The sequence below is a fragment of the Homo sapiens genome, chromosome 1 (genome assembly GCF_000001405.40).
Source record: "Homo sapiens chromosome 1, GRCh38.p14 Primary Assembly".
In the NCBI taxonomy this organism is placed as follows: domain Eukaryota; kingdom Metazoa; phylum Chordata; class Mammalia; order Primates; family Hominidae; genus Homo; species Homo sapiens.
In genome coordinates this window covers 225724044-225745863 of record NC_000001.11, presented here as the reverse complement: position 1 = coordinate 225745863, position 21820 = coordinate 225724044, and the positions used below count along the sequence as shown (strand labels likewise).

General features: G+C 46.6%; 1 long non-coding RNA gene and 1 pseudogene across 1 annotated transcript; both read right to left on the bottom strand.

The window, feature by feature from the left end:
- Window positions 1-271: 271 nt before the first annotated feature.
- On the bottom strand, window positions 272-7855 carry LOC107985352 (uncharacterized). The gene is made up of 2 exons (XR_001738499.2): window positions 7667-7855; window positions 272-1058 (listed from the first exon to the last, which is right to left on the bottom strand). It is a non-coding gene; the product is annotated as an uncharacterized LOC107985352 (long non-coding RNA).
- On the bottom strand, window positions 4484-4589 carry RNU6-1304P (RNA, U6 small nuclear 1304, pseudogene; annotated as a pseudogene).
- Window positions 7856-21820: the final 13965 nt, after the last annotated feature.

Below are 21820 nucleotides of genomic sequence, written 5' to 3'. Positions count from 1 at the left end.
GCTGCTGCGCCAGAAGCTGTGCCCTCTTATGGAAAGAAGAGCACTTCCTTCATATAAAAGCAGCCAGGTGAAGGCAAGGCTATTCTTGCACGAGAAATGATGATTATACAGATCAATTCCATCTTCTGGAGGAACCCCAGACAGTGGTAAATTACACAGTTACAGTTGTACCTTAAGCCCCATCTCCCCACCCCCCACAAAACAACAGAAAACCCAACAACCATGTTTTGCAGCAAAAATATTTACAGGACAGTTACTATGCACAAGCAAGTATTTTATATATTATGTCATTTAATCTTCTCAAGAACCCTGTGATGTATTTACCAATGAATGAACAGAGAGAGAGGCTAACAGCTAGCCAGAAATCACAGGGCCAGAAGGGTATGAAAGCTAGGCCTGGCAAGGCTGAGAATACAGCAGGACTTGGCATCTGGTAAGTGTTCCATAAATCCTTGTTGAAGGAATAAATGGGTCTGCCAGGCTCCATGATCAGGGCTTGCCTACTGCTCCCTAAGCCATAATTCCTGTTCCAAGGATCTGGGTAAGTCAGGGCCTACAAATATGCCCCAGGGAAGTTTTCTAAGATCCTGTTCTCATCTTTCTTCTGTGCTCTCCTCTCCCCAGCTGCCATCCTGTATCCCTTCCAAGAAGGCATAGAATGGAGGAGTTAATTTGTTATTTGATGTACCAAGTATAGTATTTGAGTGCCTACCAATGGTGCCAAGCATTGTTCTGGATGCTGGGGTCATAGGAGTGAACAAAACAGGTTAGGATCACATTTTGAAGATCACATTCTAGCCAGGGTACAGACTTGGCTGAGAGATCAGTTCTGGCTGAACTGATCAGGTAGGATTGAGGTAAGAGCTCTGTGACTCCTTAGCTATGGGCTGCTGTGTGCACATGGGGGCAGGCACCAGCGCTCCCTCACCAATGAGGTGCACTTTCGTCCTTGTGGTTGCAGAAGTGGTTTCAGCACCTCTGCCTCTCTGCTGTGGCCTCTTCCCTGGCCATGGTTTTCATCCCAGGATGGGCTCCTCAAAGTGTCTTTGCCACATGACCTAGAATTGAGACTAAGAGATTCAGTCTGGGCTGAGCTCATGTTAAAACCCAGGAGGCCAGGTGCGGTGGCTCACGCCTATAAATCCCAGCACTTTGGGAGGCCGAGGCAGGCAGATCACAAGGTCAAGATATTGAGACCATCCTGACCAACATGGTGAAACCCCGTCTCTACTAAAAATACAAAAATTAGCCGGGCATGGTGGTGGGTGCCTGTAGTCCCAGCTACTTGGGAGGCTGAGGCAGGAGAATCGCTTGAACCCAGGAGGTGGAGGTTGAAGTGAGCTGAGATTGCGTCAACTGCACTCCAGCCTGGCGACACAGTGAGACTCTGTCTCAAAAAACAAACAAACAAAACCAGGAGCTAATGCATGGCCCTTATTTTTAACTTTTATTTATTTATTTATTTATTTATTTTAAGTTCCTCGGTACATGTACAGGATGTACAGGTTTGTTAACACAGGTAAATGTGTGCCATGATGGTTTGCTGCACCTATCAACCCATCACCCAGGTGTTAAGCCCAGCATGCATTAGCTCTTTTCCCTAATGCTCTCCGTTCCCCTGCCCACCCCCAACAGGCCCCAGTGAGTGCTGTTCCCCTCCCTGTGTCCACGTGTTCTCACTGTTCAGCTCCCACTTACTAGTGAGAACATACAGTGTTTGGTTTTCTGTTCCTGCGTTAGTTTGCTGAGGATAATGGCTTCCAGCTACATCCATATAGCTGCAAAAGACATGATCTTGTTCCTTTTTTTTTTTTTTTTTTTGAGACGGAGTCTCGCTCTGTCGCCCAGGCTGGAGTGCAGTGGCGGGATCTCGGCTCACTGCAAGCTCCGCCTCCCGGGTTCACGCCATTCTCCTGCCTCAGCCTCCCAAGTAGCTGGGACTACAGGCGCCCGCCACTACGCCCGGCTAATTTTTTGTATTTTTAGTAGAGACGGGGTTTCACCGTTTTAGCCAGGATGGTCTCGATCTCCTGACCTCGTGATCCGCCCGCCTCGGCCTCCCAAAGTGCTGGGATTACAGGCGTGAGCCACCGCGCCCGGCGATCTTGTTCCTTTTTATGGCTGCATAGTATTCCATGGTGTATATGTACCACGTTTTATTTCTTTCCTTTTTCTTTTCTTTTTTTTTTTTGAGATGGAGTCTTGCTCTGTTGCCCAGGCTGGAGTGCAGTGGCATGATTTCAGCTCACTGCAACCTCCACCTCCCAGGTTCAAGCAATTCCTCTGCCTCTCAGCCTCCGGAGTAGCTGGGACTACAGGCATGCACCACCACACTCGGCTAATTTTTGTATTTTTGGTAGAGATGGGTTTCACCATGTTGGCCAGGCTGGTCTCGAACTCCTGACTTCAGGTGATCCGCCTGCCTCAGCCTCCCAAAGCGCTGGGATTAAAGGCATGAGCCACCATGCCCAGCCGCCACATTTTCTTTATCCAGTCTATCATTGATGAGCATTTGGGTTGATTCCATGTCCTTGCTATTGTGAATAGTGCTGTAATGAACATATGTGTGTATGTATCTTTATAACAAAGTGATTTATATTCCTTTGGGTATATACCCAGTAATGGGATTGCTGGGTCAAATGGTATTTCTGGTTCTAAATCTCTGAGGAATCGCCACACTCTCTTCCACAATGGTTGAACTAATTTACATTCCCACCAACAGTGTAAAAGCTTTCTTATTTCTTCACAACCTCGCCAGCAGCTCTTGTTTCTTTTTTAAATTTCATTTTATTGAGACAGAGTCTCACTCTGTCACCCAGGCTGGAGTGCAGTGGCGCAATCTTGGCTCACTGCAAACTCTGCCTCCCAGGTTCAAGCAATTCACCTGCCTCAGCCTCCTGAGTAGCTGGGATTACAGGTGTGCGCCATGGTGCCTGGCTAATTTTTGTATTTTTAGTGGAGACAGGGTTTCACCATGTTAGCCAGCCTGGCCTCAAACTCCTGACCTCAAGTGATCTGCCCACCTTGGCCTCCCAAAGTGCTGGGATTACAGGTGTGAGCCACCACGCCCGGCCTATCTGTTGTCTCTTGACTTTTTAATAATCGCCATTCTGACTGGCGTGAGATGGTATCTCATTGTGGTTTTCATTTGCATCTCTCTCTCTGTCTCTCTTTTTTTTTTTTTTTGACATGGAGTCTCGCTTTGTTGCCCAGGCTGGAGTGCAGCGGCACGATCTTGGCTCACTGCAAGCTCCACCTCCTGGGTTCATGCCATTCTCCTGCCTCAGCCTCCCGAGTAGCTGGGACTACAGGCACCCGCCACCACACCTGGCTAATTTTTTGTATTTTCAGTAGAGATGGGGTTTCACTGTGTTAGCCAGGATGGTCTCAATCTCCTGACCTCGTGATCCACCCACCTCGGCCTCCCAGAGTGCTGGGATTACAGGCGTGAGCCACTGCGCCTGGCCTTTTTTTTTTTTTTTTTTTTTTTGAGACGGAGTTTCGCTCTTGTTGCCCAGGCTGGAGTGCAATGACATGATCTCGGCTCACCACAACCTCCACCTCCCAGGTTCAAGTGATTCTCCTGTCTCAGCCTCCCGAGCAGCTGGGATTACAGGCGCCTGCCACCAGGCCCAGCTAATTTTGTATTTTTAGTAGGGACAGGGTTTCTCCATGTTGGTCAGGCTGGTCTTGAACTCCCGACCTCAGGTGATCAGCACGCCTCAGCCTCCCAAAGTGCTGGGATTACAGGCATGAGCCACCGTGTCCAGACTTTCATTTGCATTTCTCTAATGATCAGCGATGTTGAGCTTTTTTCCACATTTGTTGGTCACGTGTATATCTTTTTTTGAGAAGTTATTTTTATTTATTTTTTAGGGACACAGTCTCCCTCTGTCTCCCGGGCTGGAGTGCAGTGGCGCCATCATGGCTTGCTACAGCCTCGAGCTTCAGGACTCAAACGATTCTCCCACCTTTGCCTCCTGAGTAGCTAGGGCTACAGGCATGTGGCACCACGCGCAGGTAACTTTTCTATTTTTTGGTAGAGATCTTACTATGTTACCCAGGACTGGCCTGAAGTGATCCTCCTACCTCAGTCTCTCAAAATGCTGGGATAACACGTGAGCCACTGTGCCTGGCCTTTTACAAATTATTTATTTATCTTTTTTAAATTAAAATTTTTTTTTATTGGCCGGGCATGGTGGCTGACACCTGTAATCCCAGGACTTTGGGAGGCCGAGGTGGGCAGATCATGAGGTCGAGAGATCAAGACCATCCTGGCCAACATGGTGAAACCCATCTCTATTAAAAATACAAAAATTAGCCGGGCTTGGTGGCGGGCGCCTGTAGTCCCAACTACTCGGGAGGCTGAGGCAGGAGAATCGCTTGAACCCAGGAGGCGGAGGTTGCAGTGAGCTGAGATTGCACCACTGCACTCCAGCCTGGCGACAAAGCAAGACTCTGTTTCAAAAAAACAAAACAAAACAAAACAAAACAACCACACACACACACAAAACTTATTTTATGCAGGGACCATGCTAATCTTCTCTGTATTGTTCCAATTTTAGTATATGTGCTGCCAAAGCGAGCACTATTTATTTATCTATCTATTTATTTATTTATTGAGCCAGAGTCTCATTCTGTCACTCAGGCTGGAGTGCAATGGCACAATCTCAGCTCACTGCAACCTCCACCTCCCAGGTTCAAGCGATTCTCCTGCCTCAGCCTCCCAAGTAGCTGGGATTACAGACACCCGCCACCACACGTGGCTAATTTTGTATTTTTAGTAGAGACAGGGTTTCACCATGTTGGCCAGGCTGGTCTCGAACTCCTGACCTCAGGTGATCTGCCTGCCTCAGCCGCCCATAGTGCTGAGATTACAGGCGTAAGCCACTGCGTCTGGCCGCGAGCACTATTTATTCATTACCATGTGGATTGGGGACTCCTGATACCTTCTAGTTTATGACTTTGATATCTTCATTCGACATTGCGCTTTCCTGCCACTGGATGAAGAAAAGAAAATCCTTACCGGTCCTCTGACTTATCCTTTTGTACTTAAGCTGGCTTTAGTTGGTTTCTGTTACTTATAATCAAAAACAGTCTCATCTTTTTTTTTTTTTTTTTTTTTTTGAGACAGAGTCTCGTTCTGTCGCCCAGGCTGGAGTGCAGTGGCGTGATCTCAGCTTACTGCAACCTCCGCCTCCCAGATTCAAGTGATTCTCCTGCCTTAGCCTCCAGAGTAGCTGGGACTACAGGCACGTGCCACCACGCCCAGCTAATTTTTTGTAATTTTAGTAGATATGGGGTTTCACCATGTTAACCAGGCTGGTCTTGATCTCCTGACCTTGTGATCCACTCGCCTCAGCCTCCCAAAGTGCTGGGATTACAGGCGTGAGCCACCGTGCCCAGCCAGTCTCATCTTGAATGTAAACAAAAACTTAGAACCTGGGTTCAGGGCAGAAGCAGCAGACCTAGAGCTGCCTGGATCTGATCAGGTCTGAGAATGACAAAGTCAAACGGGTTCCCTAGAGACCACTGATCACTGGGGAAGCTCCCTTGCCCTGCACTGCCTCTCTGCCAAGACCAAGGCCTAGGACCACATACTGACTGCAAACCCATCTGGATACAACCAGTCTGAATTTTCCCCAAATCTACTCTTGGTACATAATCAGACTTCCTGATCTACACACATTTTTTTTCCTTACTCTAGACCCTAGGAGGGAGTAAAGTTTGTGGTAAAAGAAAAAGAAGGAAAAATACAAACTACCTTCTAAACCGTGGGTACGGTAATGGAGTGGCTACCAGTATTGATCATTGCAAGAACATTGCAAGCTTAGCAAGAATCAGCTGCTGGGTCATAGCCTGTTTTGAAAGACAACTGTAGCCCATTAAAAAGGATTGTGTGTCATCCACAGAAAGCTCTTCATTTGGTTACTTTACATCTGACTGGCTCCTACTTGCCCTACAGGCTCTAGTTTTTTCTTGCAAGCCTTCTACAAGACTAGGTTAGGGAACTCCTCTGTTAGAGTACTCCCTTACAGTGCACATCTCACTTTGTTGTTTGTTTTAAGGATAGGGTCTCACTCAGTTGCCCAAGCTTGAGTGCAGTGGTGTGATCATAGTTCACTGCAGCCTTGAACTTCTGGGCTCCAGTGATCCTCTTGCCTCAGCCTCCCAAGTGGCTGGGACTCTAGGCACATGCCACTGAGCTTGGCTAACTTTTTAAAAAAAAATTTCTTGTAGAGACGGGATCTCACTATGTTGCCCGGGTTGGTCTCAAACTCCTGGCCTCAAGCAATCTGCCTGCCTCGGCCTTCCAAAGTGTTGGGATTACAGGTGTGAGCCACTGCACCCAGCCATCTCACTCTATTTAAATTGCCATGTCGGTCTATTAAAATGCTCTATTTAAGTGTCCTGAGAGTAGACCCGAGTGTATCTAGCATGGTACTTCGTGTGTGGTAGGTGCTCAATATACATGTTCCACAAAAAATAGAATTCAGGAATTCATTTAGTATTCCCTAAAAAGTCTCCACACCTACCCTTCTACAGGTGATCATATAACTTGTGCAAAGACTATCAGGAAGACTTAGGTATGTGCCTTTAGGAGGTAGATAGAGCAGACAGGGCTCAGGTGACCTTGACTAGCTAGAAATTCCAGGTGCCTCTATCAAACAGAATCTGTCAATTAGGATTAAGTTAGACTTTATACAACAGAAAACAAGGTTTATCCTCTTATGTAAAAGAATTCCAGGGGACTACAGTTCTGGGCAGGAATAGTGGCTCCACGAAGTTAGCAGGAACCCAAGCTGCTTCTGGCTTTCTGCAGCACCATCCTTAGCACTGACTTCCATCCACAAGGCTACCTCATGGTTTAAGAGGGCAGTGGCATGCCAGCCATCATGTCTGCATTCCAGGCAGCAGGACAAAGGGAGAAGGACAAGCGAAGCAACAAAAGGTTGGCCCTCTGAGTCAGCTCCCTCTCAGCAGACTTCTTGAAATTTTTATGTATAATATTCCCTTATATCTAAGTGGCCAGGAACACTTGGAAATGTAGATTTTAGCTGGGTACTTTGCTCCATATAAACTTGGAGTTTTATAATTAAGAGGGAAACAGATATTATGCAATAAGCTGCAGTCTCTCCCCCAGTCCCCAAGCAAACCTGTCAGGAAGGACCCTCCCTTATTTTGGTAAAAAATCAGTTGATCTGTCTATAGGCAGCTCCGCTTTGCTCTACATCTCAGTTTTCACTGATACAAGGACTAGTCATCAGTACTTTTTTCTCTATATAAAGAACTACAATGGCTGGGCGCAGTGGCTCACGCCTGTAATCCCAGCACTTTGGGAGGCCAAGGCGGGCGGATCGCTTGAGGTCAGGAGTTCGAGACCAGCTTGGCCAACATGCTGAAACCCCATCTCTACTAAATATACAAAAATTAGCCAGGCGTGGTGGCGCATGACTGTAGTCACAGCTACTCGGGAGGCTGAGGCAGGAGAATCGCTTGAATTCAGGAGGCAGAGGTTGCAGTGAGCCGAGATTGCACCACTGCACTCCAGCCTGGGTGAGAGAGAGAGATGCTGTCTCAAAAAAAAAAAAAAAAAAGAAAAAGAAAAAGAAAAAAAGAACTACAAGAGAAGGGTCCTCTCCCTTGCTCTGTTTCTTGCACTTACCACTCGCACTCATTACTAGATGGGGCCACATGAAGAGTTCAATGCAGAACTGCAGAAAGGCTCTTCAGCATGTGGGCGTCTCTCACAAGGCCGGATGATTGAGCTGAAATGAGTTGACAATCATGTTGATGTAAGGCAGTGCATTAGGGGCCCTGCTGTAGCAGTGACAGCCTGGATGCTCTGCATTTCAGATGGGCAGGAAATGCTCTGAGAACACACAGGCCTGGGCACTGGTCTACAGGACCAGGTGAAGGAGGAAGGACCCCATTCCCTTCACCCTCATCCTCCAAGGCAGGTAGTACCCAATAGCCATGCCTACAGCATATTCCCCATAGGTGTGGGCAGAAGACCCCACTCCCTTGAACTCTCTAGTTAGTGCTTTCTCAAACTGCAGTTTGATTTTCTCTTAAATGGGAAGTGTCTGAATGTAGGGCAACTGTGGGAAAGGAAGCATGGGAGAGTAATGATGAGCTTGGGTTGGAATCCTGGCCTTGCCCGTTGTTTTCTGTGTTACCTTGCTAACTCGTTTCACTCCCTCCAAGTGCCTATTTCGTGAGGTAAAATAAGAATGGTAATGACACCCCCCTCGCCGAGCTGCTCAGAGGATTAAACAAGATAATGTAGGTGAATGCATTTAGCACAGTGCCTGGGGTACAATAGGTACTCGATAAAAGAGAAAATAAAATGGAGATAGATGGCAAAAGCCACTGTGAAGACTCAACCCCTAAACAAATCTTCCTCTGAAATCAGAGAAATTTGCAACACTGGCATCTTGGCTGGAATCCCAGGATAAGATGGGCACTTACAGCAGTAAAGCCAGCCACACCCTGGACACCAGGCCCCAGAGGGCAGGGGCTACTCCCCATCCGAGGGCTGCCGAGCTCAGGAAACTGATTCATATTTTGTCCTGGGGACACTGCACTTGGAAAAACATTATTGATTCCATGGTTCAGGTTGCAAAGGGAGGAAGAAAGATGGAATTTCATCACATAAAGCACTTATGCCTACTGTACTTTCTCTTTAGAGAGGCACTTGACAATCATTTTCATTAGTGTCTCTTCTTAAAACAACCTCAGAGATAGCTTATCCCCATTTTATAAAGGCAGAACATAGGAGAAATAACTGGCTGAAGAGCATGTGGCAAGGTGGCAAAAGTCAGAGTTCATGATCTCCAAATTTCTGGCATATTGCTTAACTAACCAAGCTTCGGCAATCCGCTCCACAAATGCCTGGCGAGGGCCTCTCAGTCATATACTTATTGCTCAGATCAGTCACTCATGATCACCAGAAAAAGGCAAACATGTAAATCTAGGCTACATGATTCGTTTTTCTTAGCAGCTTAGGACAGGAGATGAAAAGTGACTTTTCTAACCGTATCACAAGTGGTTCTGTGTCCAGCAAGTCCTGGAACAGAGATGTTGGAACTATTCCAGGATATACGTTACACCATAGAGCTCTGGATGCCTAGAAGCAATGAAGATGGGGTGGGGGCAGTGAAATAGCCAGCTCCTACGCTAAGTGCAGCCCTCCCCACCAGGGCTGTAGCCGGGCTGCCCCCTCACCTGAGGAACTCATGCCTTTGATCACGGCAGCATTACAACCTGTCCCTGATACCAAAAGGAGAAACACTCTTGGCCTGTGCCCTCTTGGATGGATCATTTTTCAGAGAACAGGACGTTTAGTGAGTTTGTCTCAAACTGCACAGAGAACATGGTGAACCTGCTAGGGCTGATTGCTGAGGGAAATTAAGAAGACAGGGATAATGGCTTTTCCTCTGTTGCTAAAGCCAGCATGTACCTGAAATGAGCCCCAAAGCTCAGGCCTGACTTCATGCCTTTCTTGTCCTGGGAAGAGGGTTTATCAGATTCTAAAGACTGCATTTCAGTTATCTTTGTTTCCAATACTGAAGCAGCTCCCTCTGCTCACCGAGGCAGAGCACTTTCTATCTCTTTTTCAGAAAAATCCCAAGGAACAATTGTTTTGGATTACTTAGTGGACTCAGCATGGAAACTGCTTGTGTGGCCCAGCTAGGTAGGGGCGTTCAGACAAGGAGACCTGACCTGGAGCCTCTGGGATGATTCCAAGGTATTGCATGCATGCGTCTGCTGTGTGTTCATTAACTGCTGGGGAAAAAACTCTGGGTAGTCACAGCCATCTACTGTCAGTTTTCAAGACAGGCTTCAGCAGGCAAGCAGCTTGGTGGGAGGCGTCCTTAGTCAGCTGGGAAAGTAAGGCTGACGCGCTGTCCGACCTCAGCGAGGCATGTGTCATACTCTTTCCATTCTCTGGCACTCTCTGGCTCTTCCTAAGGCCTTTTCTCAACCAGGCACATTATGTGATGTAGACAGCAAGCAGGATTGGAGGCTGGCAGTCCCCAGAGCGGAGCTGGCAGTGGCCACTTAGACTCCCTCATATCACATCGTTGGCTTCCAAGCCCAGATGTAGGTGCCTGCCCCTCCCATTGGGACCTTGCCAAATCTTTTGTAACATTTTAAAACAGCCATTGAAGTGCCAGATGATAAAATTTCCCTTGGAGATTGAGAAATTCTGATTGGGATGATGGCAGCATTCTGGAATTTATGTGAGATTTGCTTCCCAGGGGCCAGAAGCGAGGAGGTCAAGACTCCAGGTCCCCATCCCAGCTTAACCAAAGAACCACTACTTTTTTTCTTTTCTTTTCTTTCTTTCTTTTTTTTTCTCAGACAGTCTTGCTCTGTCAACCATGCTGGAGTGCAGTGGTGCAATCTTGGCTTCTGCAACCTTCACCTTCCAGGTTCAAGCGATTCTTTTGCCTCAGCTTCCGGAGTGGCTAGGATTACAGGTGTGTGCCACAATGCCCGGCTGATTTTTGTAATTTTAGTAGAGATGGGGTTTTACCATGTTGGCAAGGCTGGTCTTGAACTCCTGGCCTCAAGTGAACTGCCCACCTTGGCCTCCTAAAGTGCTGGAACTATAGGTGTGAGCCACTGCACCCAGCCCCCTACTTTTTTTTTTTTTAGATGGGGTCTTGCTCTGTTGCTCAGGCTGAAGTGCAGTGGCATGATCATAGCTCACTGCAGCCTCAAACTCCTGGGCTTAAGAGATCCTCCAGGGCCAGGCGTGGTGGCTCATGCCTGTAATCCAAGCACTTTGGGAGGCTGAGGCGGGCGGATCACGAGGTCAGGAGATCGAGACCATCCTGGCTAACACGGTGAAACCCCATCTCTACTAAAATACAAAAAAATTAGCTGGGTGTGGTGGCAGGTGCCTGTAGTCCCAGCTACTCTGGAGGCTGAGGCAGGAGAATGGCATGAACCTGGGAGATGGAGCTTGCAGTGAGCCGAGACTGCGCCACTGCACTCCAGCCTGGGCGACAGAGCGAGACTCTGTCTCAAAAAAAAATAAAATAAAATAAAAAGAGATCCTCCTAATGGCCGGGTGCAGTGGCTTACACCTGTAATCCCAGCACTTTGGGAGGCCAAGGTGGGCAGATCACTTGAAGTCAGGAGTTCGAGACCAGCCTGGCCAACATAGTGAAACCCCGTCTCTACTAAAAATAGAAAAATTAGCTGGGTGTGGTAGTGCATGTCTGTAATCCCAGCTACTCGAAAGGCGAGGCAGGAGAATTGCTTGAACCTGGGAGGCGGAGGTTGCAGTGAGCCGAGATCGCGTCATTGCACTCCAGTCTGGGCAAAAGAGTGAGACTCCATCTCAAAAAACAAGAGATCCTCCTGGCTCAGCCTCCTGAGTAGCTGGGACTACAGGTGTGTGCACCACAACACCCAGCTAATTTTTGTATTTTTTGTAGAGACAGAGTCTTGCTATATTATCCAGGTTGGTCTTAAACTCCTAGCCTTAAGAAATCCTCCCACCTCCGCCTCCCAAAATGCTAGGATTACAGGCATGGGCTACTACACCTGGCCTTTCTTTTTGGTTTTACATGCTGAAGTTAGGCACAGATTTCAATTGAAAGAGGGTTTTGTTGCTTTAAAAGTGTTTTAAAAGTCCTGCCCTGCATTATCCTTATCACCTCCATTAGTAACTATACAGAATTTTAAAAGAGGAAAAATCAGAGAGGGAAAGGTAAGTTATTTATTGGGTATGAAGAAAAGCCACAGATGTTGTTTGGGCCTCAGCAGGGCATCTGTGCAGGTGTCTGCGCATTAGCAACACCATCTGCTTGGTTGTCTCTCAAAGGAAGAAGAATCCTGGCCTAATGAACTCCTCAAGCTCTCTTCTTTGGGAAATAGGAAGATCACAATTTGAAATCTTAATACGAGGTAATAATTGAATATATAAGCACCCTACATAATCCAGAACTAAAAAATGTGAAATTAAGTCATGAATTGCTTTCAAATATAGCAGGAATCTTCTAGCCTCTCTCTTCCAGTCCTAAAAGGCACCACGAAATGCTGCCTCAGAGCCAAGGCCCCAAATAAATACATGCTAATAAGGCTGATTTTCCCTTTTCACTCTTCTCCTGGGCAGTATGAACCTTTGACTAGAGAGAGGCAGAAAGGAGCATCTCAACCCATTTAGGTGGTGGCCTCTTTCAAAGTGAAATGTGAAGCCAGGGCTCCAAACCGTCATTGTCCTGAGAGTTCCCAGGAAGGCTTTTGCGTGGTGACCTGGATGCCCGTCCAAATGGCCTTGGCTGGTCCCATCCCTCACTCTAGCTCCCTAAGGGTCCTGCTGCTATCAATTGACTGTGAACATTTCCTTTCACTGCCTTTTGCAAACTGCTGGGTGAGTGCCAAGTAGTAGCTTTGCAGGGTTCATTCACCCCAGGGCTGGGAGCTTTTCAGCAGTGTAGGCAGGTTATGTGTTTCAAATCAGCATAGTAGGGCAGAGTGATTTGGAAGCCATTTCATTTTTTCAGTTCATCAAACTCCTACTCACTGGGAATCTCTAAACCAGCGATATGAAACCTTTCTGGAGTTGTGACACCCTGTTGTCACTCATTTTATTTCATCAAACACCCACCCCTCTTAAAAATGCCATGAGGCATGTATTTATTTTTAAGATGAAAGTGAATTAAAATTGGAAAATTACCTAAGAATTTTCTGGCACTCTAGCAAAAAAGGAGATCTACCAGAGGTGTTTGGAAGTCAGGATCTTCATTAAGAATCATCACTCTACACAGGGAAGACACTTGACGGAATTGAGAAGTAGGAAGAATTTGTCCTTGCTCCTCCCCTCTCCCACAATCTAATTCCCTCCCCATCTGCACATCCCTCCCCAGGCATCTGGGCACTTGCACCACCCCATACCTCCCTCCGTGGTACCTCATGCAGAACTGGCCCTTACCACCCACCCCCGCAGCCCTGCTCTGCAACTGTTTCCTCTCAGTGCTCCTGTTAACATACCCGATGCCCACTCCTTCTGCAGGTAGTCCCTGTAGGTTAGTCGTTTCTTTAGAAAGGAGTAACAACTTCTATTCTTTTTTTTTTTTGAGATGGAGTCTCTCTCTGTTGCCCAGGCTGGAGTGCAATGGCGCAATCTCGGCTCACTGCAACCTCTGCCTCCTGGGTTCAAGCAATTCTCCTGCCTCAGCCTCCCGAGTAGCTGGGATTATAGGCGTGAGCCACCATGCTTGGCTAATTTTTTTGTATTTTTAGTAGAGACAGGGTTTCACCATGTTGGCCAGGCTGGTCTCAAACTCCTGACCTCAAGTGATCCACCCACCTCGGCCTCCCAACGTGCTGGGATTACAGGTGTGAGCCACTGCGCCCAGCCTAGGAGTAACAACTTCTAAGTTCATTTTCAGCACAAAAATTTTAGTGGAGTTAACCTTGATGATAATGCCTTAAAGTCTTAATCCCTCCCAGGGATATTTGTAATTTTTTTATCCCTAGAATGCTCAGCAGAAGGGATATTTGTAATGTAACTAGAGACAATATCATACACAAAATAATTAATTTCCAATGGAATTTCAAGGGGTAACAGAAAGGAACAGGAAGAGTGAGAGATTGGTCCATTCTGCCTTCTGGTAATAATGGCCCCCTCGCGGTGCAAGCATTCACTTTGGGATAATATAAAAGACACTGGAACTGGGTGTGGTGGCTCATACCTGTAATCCCAGCATTTTGGGAGGTTGAAGCGGGCAGATCACCTGAAGTCAGGAGTTCAAGACCAGCCTGGCCAATGTGGTGAAACCACGTCTCTACTAAAAATACAAAAATTAGCCAGGTGTGGTGGTATGCACTTGTAATCCCAGTGACTCAGGAGGCTGAGGCAGGGCAATAGCTTGAACCTGGGAGGCGGAGGCTGCAGTGAACCGAGATTGCACCACTGCTCTCCAGCCTAGGCAACAGAGCAAGACTCTGTCTAAAAAAAAAAAAAAAAAAAAAAGACATTGGATAAGAGTCAGTGACCTGGATGTATTTCTGACTTAATCCAATTCAACCAATATTTACTAAGCCCCTCCTATATGCCTGGAATTCAGCTATGCCATTGGTATCCAAGATAAATATGACACATTCCATGTCCTCAGTGAAATCCCAGTCTATCAGGAGGCATCTGATACCATGCTAAATGTTTCTCTAGCAGTTAGACAAAATGCTATGGGAACACCATAGAGAGGATGATTGATTCTGTCCAGAGAAACCTGCAGAGAATTAATATTTGCATTGGCCTTTGAGGATGAGAATGAGTTCAGGAGGCTGGGAAAGGGAGGAGAAGAGGAGTGAGGTCAGTGGGGAAAAAAACCACCAGAACAAAAGCACAGGGAGGCGATTGCTGGGGAAGTCCAAGTATCTGGAGCACAAGAAGGGAAGTAGCGGGGATGAAGCTGAAAAGCAAGGCTAGGGTCAGATTTTGGAAAAGCTTTTACTGTCTTACTGAGGAGTGGAAGCATCAGCTGCAGACGATGGAGCCATCAGAAGGTTTTGAAACCTCCATAGACACATCCTGGAGACTACCACCTTCTCTCAGGCAAAAGACAATGCAGGCTCCATCCAGGGCTATAAGGAGAATGGAAAGAAAAGACCCTGAGGATAGGATACATGCAAATAGTTGGCTCCTTCGATGTTGGGGTTAAAGGAGAAGGAGAAGTCATAGGTTTTTTGCTTAGGCTTGCTAAGTAATGGCGATGCCACTAATTGAAGATAGGGATGATAGGAGCAAGAGTCCATGGAAAAGAACAATGAGCTCAATTTTAGGCCTGTTGGCTTAAGAGACCAAGGGCGAGTGTGAAGATGGTTGTTGATGTTGCTACAGAGGATTCTTCTCTTGTTTATGTTTTTGGTCTTCTTAACAGGACACTAAGTGCTTGTCTGTGCCGAGCACATGTCCATCTCTAAGATGGCTCTTCTTCCAGTTCTGTCATTTCTTCCATCAGACAGGATGGTGCGAGTGTAGACAGAGTTTAAGCAAGAGGCCTGGGACTGCTGCTGCTATTAAGCAGAGGCCAAGTCACATGGAAGCTTCTGGAAGCTCAGGTTCTCACTTGCATACAGATCTGCTTCTTTGCATTCTAAATGTTAAATTCCTCACCTTCCATTCATCTTTTGTTTTCAATTTATCTTTCTCAAATAATATCCTTGCTTGTAGAACTAATCATTGTCCCAAAGAGAACCTGTGACTTCTTTCTTGCTCATTTCAGCATGAACATCATTGAGTGAAAACCTATAACTAGAACGCTGTTGTGGAGATAAAGTAGTTCAGGAAATGTTTGGATCTTTAGGAGTTCATCTCAGAAACCCTAAAAATGTGCATGCTCTTTGAGCTAGTAACCCTACTTTTTGGGATTTATCCTAGAGGAATACTGGACAAGTGGACAAATATGTATGTACAATATTGGCACTCTTTTTTTGAGACAGGGTCTCACTGTGTCATCAGGGTGGAATCCAGTGGCATGATCATGGCTCACTGCAGACTTGACCTCCTGGGCTGAAGCAATCCTCCCACCTCAGCCTCCTGAGTAGCTGAGCTTACAGGTGTACACCACCACACAAGGCTAATTTTAAATTTTTTTTGTAAAGATGGGGTCTCAGTACATTGCCCAGGCTGGGCTCAAACTCCTGAGCTCAAGCAATCTTCCTGCCTTGGCCTCCCAAAGTGTTGGGATTATAAGCATGAGCCACTGCACCTAGCCTCAATATTGTCATTCTTGCTTATTGTAGTAAAAAACTAAGCAATAAAAGTCCACAAATAAGAGATTAACTAAATTACTTAAAATGATCCATATAATGAAATTTAATAAAAATTAACTCATTAAAAATGACAGTGTAAGCTGGGCACAGTGGCTCATGCCTGTAATCCCAGCACTTTGGGAGGCCAAGCAGGGAGGATCACCTGAGGCTGGAGTTCAAGACCAGCCTGGGCAGCATAGCAAGACCCTGTCTCTACAAAAGTTGTTTTTACAAAAATGACAATGTAGATTAACATTGATTGACAATTGGAAAGTTAGAAAGACATTCAAGATTTATTATTGGAAAAGAATAAATTATGTAAATTTATTATGCAAAATGTTTAATGAAAAGATCTGAAAACCAAAATTGGCAAAACGTAAATAACAATTATCTGAGAGGACAGTGGAAGGAATTTCTATTGGTTTAATTATTTTTCTTTCTGCTGTCATTACCTCCTATTTTTTTTTTTTTTTTTTGAGACGGAGGTTCACTCTTGTTGCCCAGGCTAGAGTGCAATTGTGCAATCTCAGCTCATTGCAACCTCTGCCTCCCGGGATCAAGCGATTCTTCTGCCTCAGCCTCCCAAGTAGCTGGGATTACAGGCATGTGCCACCATGCCCTGCTAATTTTGTATTTTTAGTAAAGATGGGGTTTCTCCATGTTGGTCGGGCTGGTCTCAAACTCCCAACCTCAGGTGATCCACCCGCCTCAGCCTCCCAAGGAACTGGGATTACAGGTGTGAGCCACCGCACCCAGCCTCCTAATCTTTTTTTTTTTTTTGAGATGGAGATGGGTGAGTGGAGAGGGGGTATCTCTATGTTGCCCAGGCTGGCCTTGAACTCCTGGGCTCAAGCAATCCTCCTGCATAACTGGAACTACAGATATGCCCCACTGTACTGGCCTATTTCCTAATCTTTTTACAACAACTATGTATTACTGATGTAAAGAAATATCTGGCCAGGCGCAGTGGCTCATGCCTGTAATCCCAGCTACTCGGAAGGCTGAGGCAGGAGAATTGCTTGAACCGGGGAGGTGGAGGTTGCGGTGAGCCAAGATCACGCCATTGCACTCCAGCCTGGGCAACAAGAGTGAAACTCTGTCTCAAAAAAGAAAAGAAAAGAAAAGAAAAGAAATATCAGGCTGGGTGCAGTGGCTCACGCCTCTAATCTCAGCACTTTGGGAGGCCAAGGCGAGTGGATTGCTTGAGGTCAGGAGTTCGAGACCAGCCTGGCTAACATGGTGAAACCCCATCTCTACTAAAAATACAAAAATTAGCCAGGTGTGGTGGCACATGCCTGTAGTCCCAGCTACTCGAGGCACGAGAATTGCTTGAACCCAGGAGGCAGAGGTTGCAGGGAGCTGGGATCACACCACTGCACTCCAGCCTGGGCAAGACAGCGAGACTCCATCAAAAAAAAAAAAAAAGAAAAGAAACAAAAGAAAAGAAATATCTATGCTTCTTTCAAATGTGCTGGGGCCAGCTTATCAGCTGTGCTCCCAGACAGGGCTAGGTTGAGGAGCAAAGGAAGAGCAGGAAAGCCCTCCAACAGTGGCTAAATTGAAAATTATGGCCCTGGAAGTATATTTCATGAAGGGACCTCCCTCCCCTTTCAATGCACACTCTGGGGGATTCTTCGGAACAAGACACTCTTAGGTCATAGCTACATGGAGAGTCACACAGAAGGTCCAATTATCACACCTTCCTATATTTCCCCTAGCTTTTCTAAAATCTTAGCTCTTCCACAGTCTCTCAGATAGAAAAATCACCCAAGATCTAATTTCTTACCCTAAAATTATTGTTATTTTAAAATTCAACCTAGCTCTGTGCAGTTTACCTTCTAAACTGGGTCTGTTGCAGCAAGAGATAAATATTCCTGATGAGAGGGGTCAGGTGAAGGCGATCAGGTCTGAGAGTGATAAACACCAGCAGAAGCCAAAGGGGTGGCTGGAAGATAGACCTGTACATCATGGTCAAATCTAACTGGTAATCGTACATATGGAAAATAAAATGGTATCATTCTCACTATGCAGTGGGACGCGGTTGGGAGAGAAAGATAAGACCCAGGGCTGGTAATGATGCAGGAAATGGACCTTCTCCTGTGTTGCTGACAAAAGTGGGAACGACTACAACCTTTCCATAGAGCTTTGGCAAGAGGCATCCAAAGCTATACGCATGTGCATACCTTTTGACCCAGGATTTCTACGTCCAGAAATTCATCTTAAGGAAATAATCAGAAATGTGATTATATGCTTACCTGTAAGAATATTCATCTGGGCCAGGTGCAGTGGCTCACGCCTGTAATCCCACCACCTCGGGAGACCGAGGTGGGCAGATTACCTGAGGTCAGGAGTTTGAGACTAGCCTGGCCAACATTAAAAAAAAAAAAAAGAATATTCATCTGCTTTATAACTGACATTTTTAACAATAGAAATAAATCAATATAATAGAAAAATTTGAGAAAAACTTAGTTCCATCAATAGGGAATTGGTTAAAAAAAAAAAAAAAAGTAAGAGCTCAGCTTCTAGATTCTGAGCTCAAATCACAACTTGCTATCTGAATGAACCTAAACAAATTCCCTGACTTTTTTTTCAAGACAAGGTTTTGTTCTGTCACATCACAGATGTGCTGTGCTCACACAGCCTGCTCACACATGCAGGCTGGAGTGCAGCGGTGCGGTCACAGCTCACTGCAGCCTTGACCTCCTGAGTCAAGCAATCCTCCCACCTCAGTTTCCCTAGTAGCTGGGACGACAGGCGTGCACCACCATGCCTGGATATTTTTTGTAGAGACAAGGTTTCGTCATGTTTCTCAGGCTGGTCTCGAATTCCTGGGCTCAAGCAATTCTGCCTTGGCCTCCGAAAGTGCTGGGGTTACAGGCGTGAGCCACTGTGCCTGGCCCTCGACTTTTTTAAGCCTGATTTTCCTCATCTGTAAAATGGATCACAATAATAATACCTTCTCCTAACCACTTTCTCTGCCACTACCTACCATTTCTCTGCTTTTCTTTGCAATGAAACTTCTCAAAAGAATAGGTGATACGCACTGATGTGCACTCTCTTTGAAATCCACTCCAGCCAGGCTCTTGTCCTTGCTACTCCAGTAAAACTGATGTTGTCAAAGTTGCTAACATTGACTAAGTTCAAGGAACAGTCCTTAGCTGTCATCATACTTGGTCTTTGGGCATAATTTGACCCAGTTGGGCCCCCCTTCTTCTCTGACACAATTGGTTCTCTTGGCTTCTAGGACCCTATTTTCTCTTAATTTCCTTCCTACCCCACACTGGTCACTCCTCTATCTCCCTCCTCCCTGCCTTCTTAAGGATACAGCACCTGGGACATGGTCCTTGGTTTTCTCTTCGTCATCTATACCCCTTACCTTGGTGGACTCATCCAGTCTCAAGACTTTCTTTCTTTTTTTTTTTTTTTTTGAGACGGAGTCTTGCTCTGTCGCCCAGGCTGGAGTGCAATGGCGCCATCTGGGCTCACTGCAAGCTCCGCCTCCCGGGTTCACGCCATTCTCCTGCCTCAGCCTCCCGAGTTGCTGGGACTACAGGCGCCCGCCACCATGCCCGGCTAATTTTTTGTATTTTTAGTACAGATGGGGTTTCACCGTGTTAGCCAGGATGGTCTCAATCTCCTGACCTCGTGATCCGCCCGCCTTGGCCTCCCAAAGTGCTGGGATTACAGGCGTGAGCCACCGCGCCCGGCCCAGTCTCAAGACTTTCAACCATGTCCCTTTGCAGATGATTCCAATTATATCTCCAGTCCAGACCTCTCCCCTGAAATCCAGACTGGTACATCCCGCTGACTACTTGACATCTTTATTTGGATGTCTAATAGGAATCTCAAAATTCACATCCAAAATGAAATTAAACTCCTTATTTTCTATTCCCCCATTCGCTCCATCCATAGCATTCCCCATCTCAATTCCATTCCTCAGGTGGTTCAGAACAAAAAACCCTAGAATCATCCTTGACTTCTTTGTTTCTGTCACAGACTACACCCAATGGCTCAGGAAATCTGTTGGTTCTAGCTTTGGGCTATATCCAGAATCAGATCAGTTTTTGCTGTCTTCTCCATTGCCACCATGGTCTGGGCCACTGTCCCATCTCAATGGATGACTGAAATAGAGTCCCTGCTAGTCTCCCTGTGACCATCCTTACCCTTCCTACTCTTTTCTCAAGACAGCAGTCAGAATGATGCTTTCCATTTCAAGTTAGAGTGTGTCAGTTTTCCTTCTTTTTTTCTTTTTCTTTTTTCAGATGGAGTCTCCCTCTGTTACCCAGGCTGGAGTGCAGTGGCATGATCTTTGCTCACTGCAACCTCCACCTCCTGGGTTCAAGCAATTCTCTTGCCTCAGCCTCGCTGAGTAGCTGGGACTACAGGCATGTGCCACCATACCCAGCTAATTTTTTTTTTGTATTTTTAGTAGAGACGAGGTTTCACCATGTTGGCCAGGCTGGTCTCGAACTCTTGACCTCAGGTGATCTGCCTGCCTTGGCTTCCCAGAGTGCTGGGATTACAGGCGTGAGCCACCGCGCCTGGCCATGTCACTTTTCTTATCAAAACTCTGCAATGGGGCCCACTCATAGTAAAAAGCCAAATCCAACAACGGTCTTTGGGGCACTCCATGATCTGGCTTCCTATTGTTGCTCTGATCTCATCTTCCTCCATGGTCTCCATTCCCTCCTTCCATTACGGCCACTCTGGCTTCTTGTGCTGTTTTTTGACCACACAGACATTCCTGCCTTAGAGATTTGGGACTAGCTGCCCTTTTACCTGGAATAATCTTCCTTCTTACTTCCTTTAAGTCTTTGCTCAGATATCACCGTCACAGGTTGAGTTCTCTGGAGGCAGTCTCTGAGATAGAGACTGAGTGGGAAGTTTATTGGGGAGTGCTCTTGAGGTCAACTCCTGTGGAAGGGAAGAGGAGGAAGCGGGACTGGACTGTGCAGTAGTCTCAACAAAGGCGTCAGCCAATCCTAAGAGGAGCTCCGAGGCTGGCAGGCTCTTCAGAGATGTCCTGAGTTAGGGTGAGGGGGCCAGGTCACTGGATGAAGGCAGCCCTAGGAAAGCGAGTAGACTGCTCTCTGCAACAGAGACGATTTCTAAGGAGTGCTCACAGCTGAGAGCTGTCTGCTTGCAGCACTCCCAAGCAGTTGCGGAGATAAGTAATCAGTCCTAATGGGGGTTATGGATGGCGCATCTCAGTGTCCATTATAATTCACCCCTTGTGCTGTTCAGATCTACTTCAAATAAGTTCAAGGAGCAGTTCCTCTGGAATTCCAGTGGGCTTCTTTCCTGGGAGAAACTTATAACAGGAAGGTTAAAGAGATGAACAACAGCCCCTGACATTGCAGCTTGTCTTGAGGCTACGATTAATATTCATTTTTCCCTTTCACACTGATAATACAATTCTAGATTTCCCCTCACCCACAAATAGACTCTGCTGGTCTAGGTGGCCTATCTGGTCTGGGGACCTAGACCCTCATCCCTGAGCGATCTATTTGCTCCCTGGTCACCAGGCCTTTCTCAGGCCACAGCTGCTGTACTTGTCCATTAGCTGTCAAAGTTGGGTGAGGACCGAGTCACCCAAGTAGATCACCTGGGTGCCAAACATGTTCTTCCTTGCCCCCAGTGTGTAGCAATAGAGCTCCCTTCCCTTGCTGATCACAGTCAATCGCCTCTGCCAAGATGGTGACTCTTCTTCTTGTCTGCTGGTCCTGCTTAGCACAAATAGCCTGAAGTACCAAAGTGGCAGCCATAGTTTATTGTTCAATGAGATTTTTTCTGGGTCCCCCGGTGGAAGCTTTTTTTTTTTGAGACCTTTTGTCACTCAGGCTGGTGTACAGTAGCACAATTGTGACAGACTGCAGTCTCAACCTCCCCATCTTAAGTGATCCTCCCATCTCAGCCTCTCAAGTAGCCAGGACTACAGGCATGTGCCACCATGTCCAGCTAACTTTTAATTTTTTGTAGAGATGGGAATCTCAATATGTTGCCCAGACTGGTCTCAAACTCCTGAGCTCAAGCAACCTTCTGC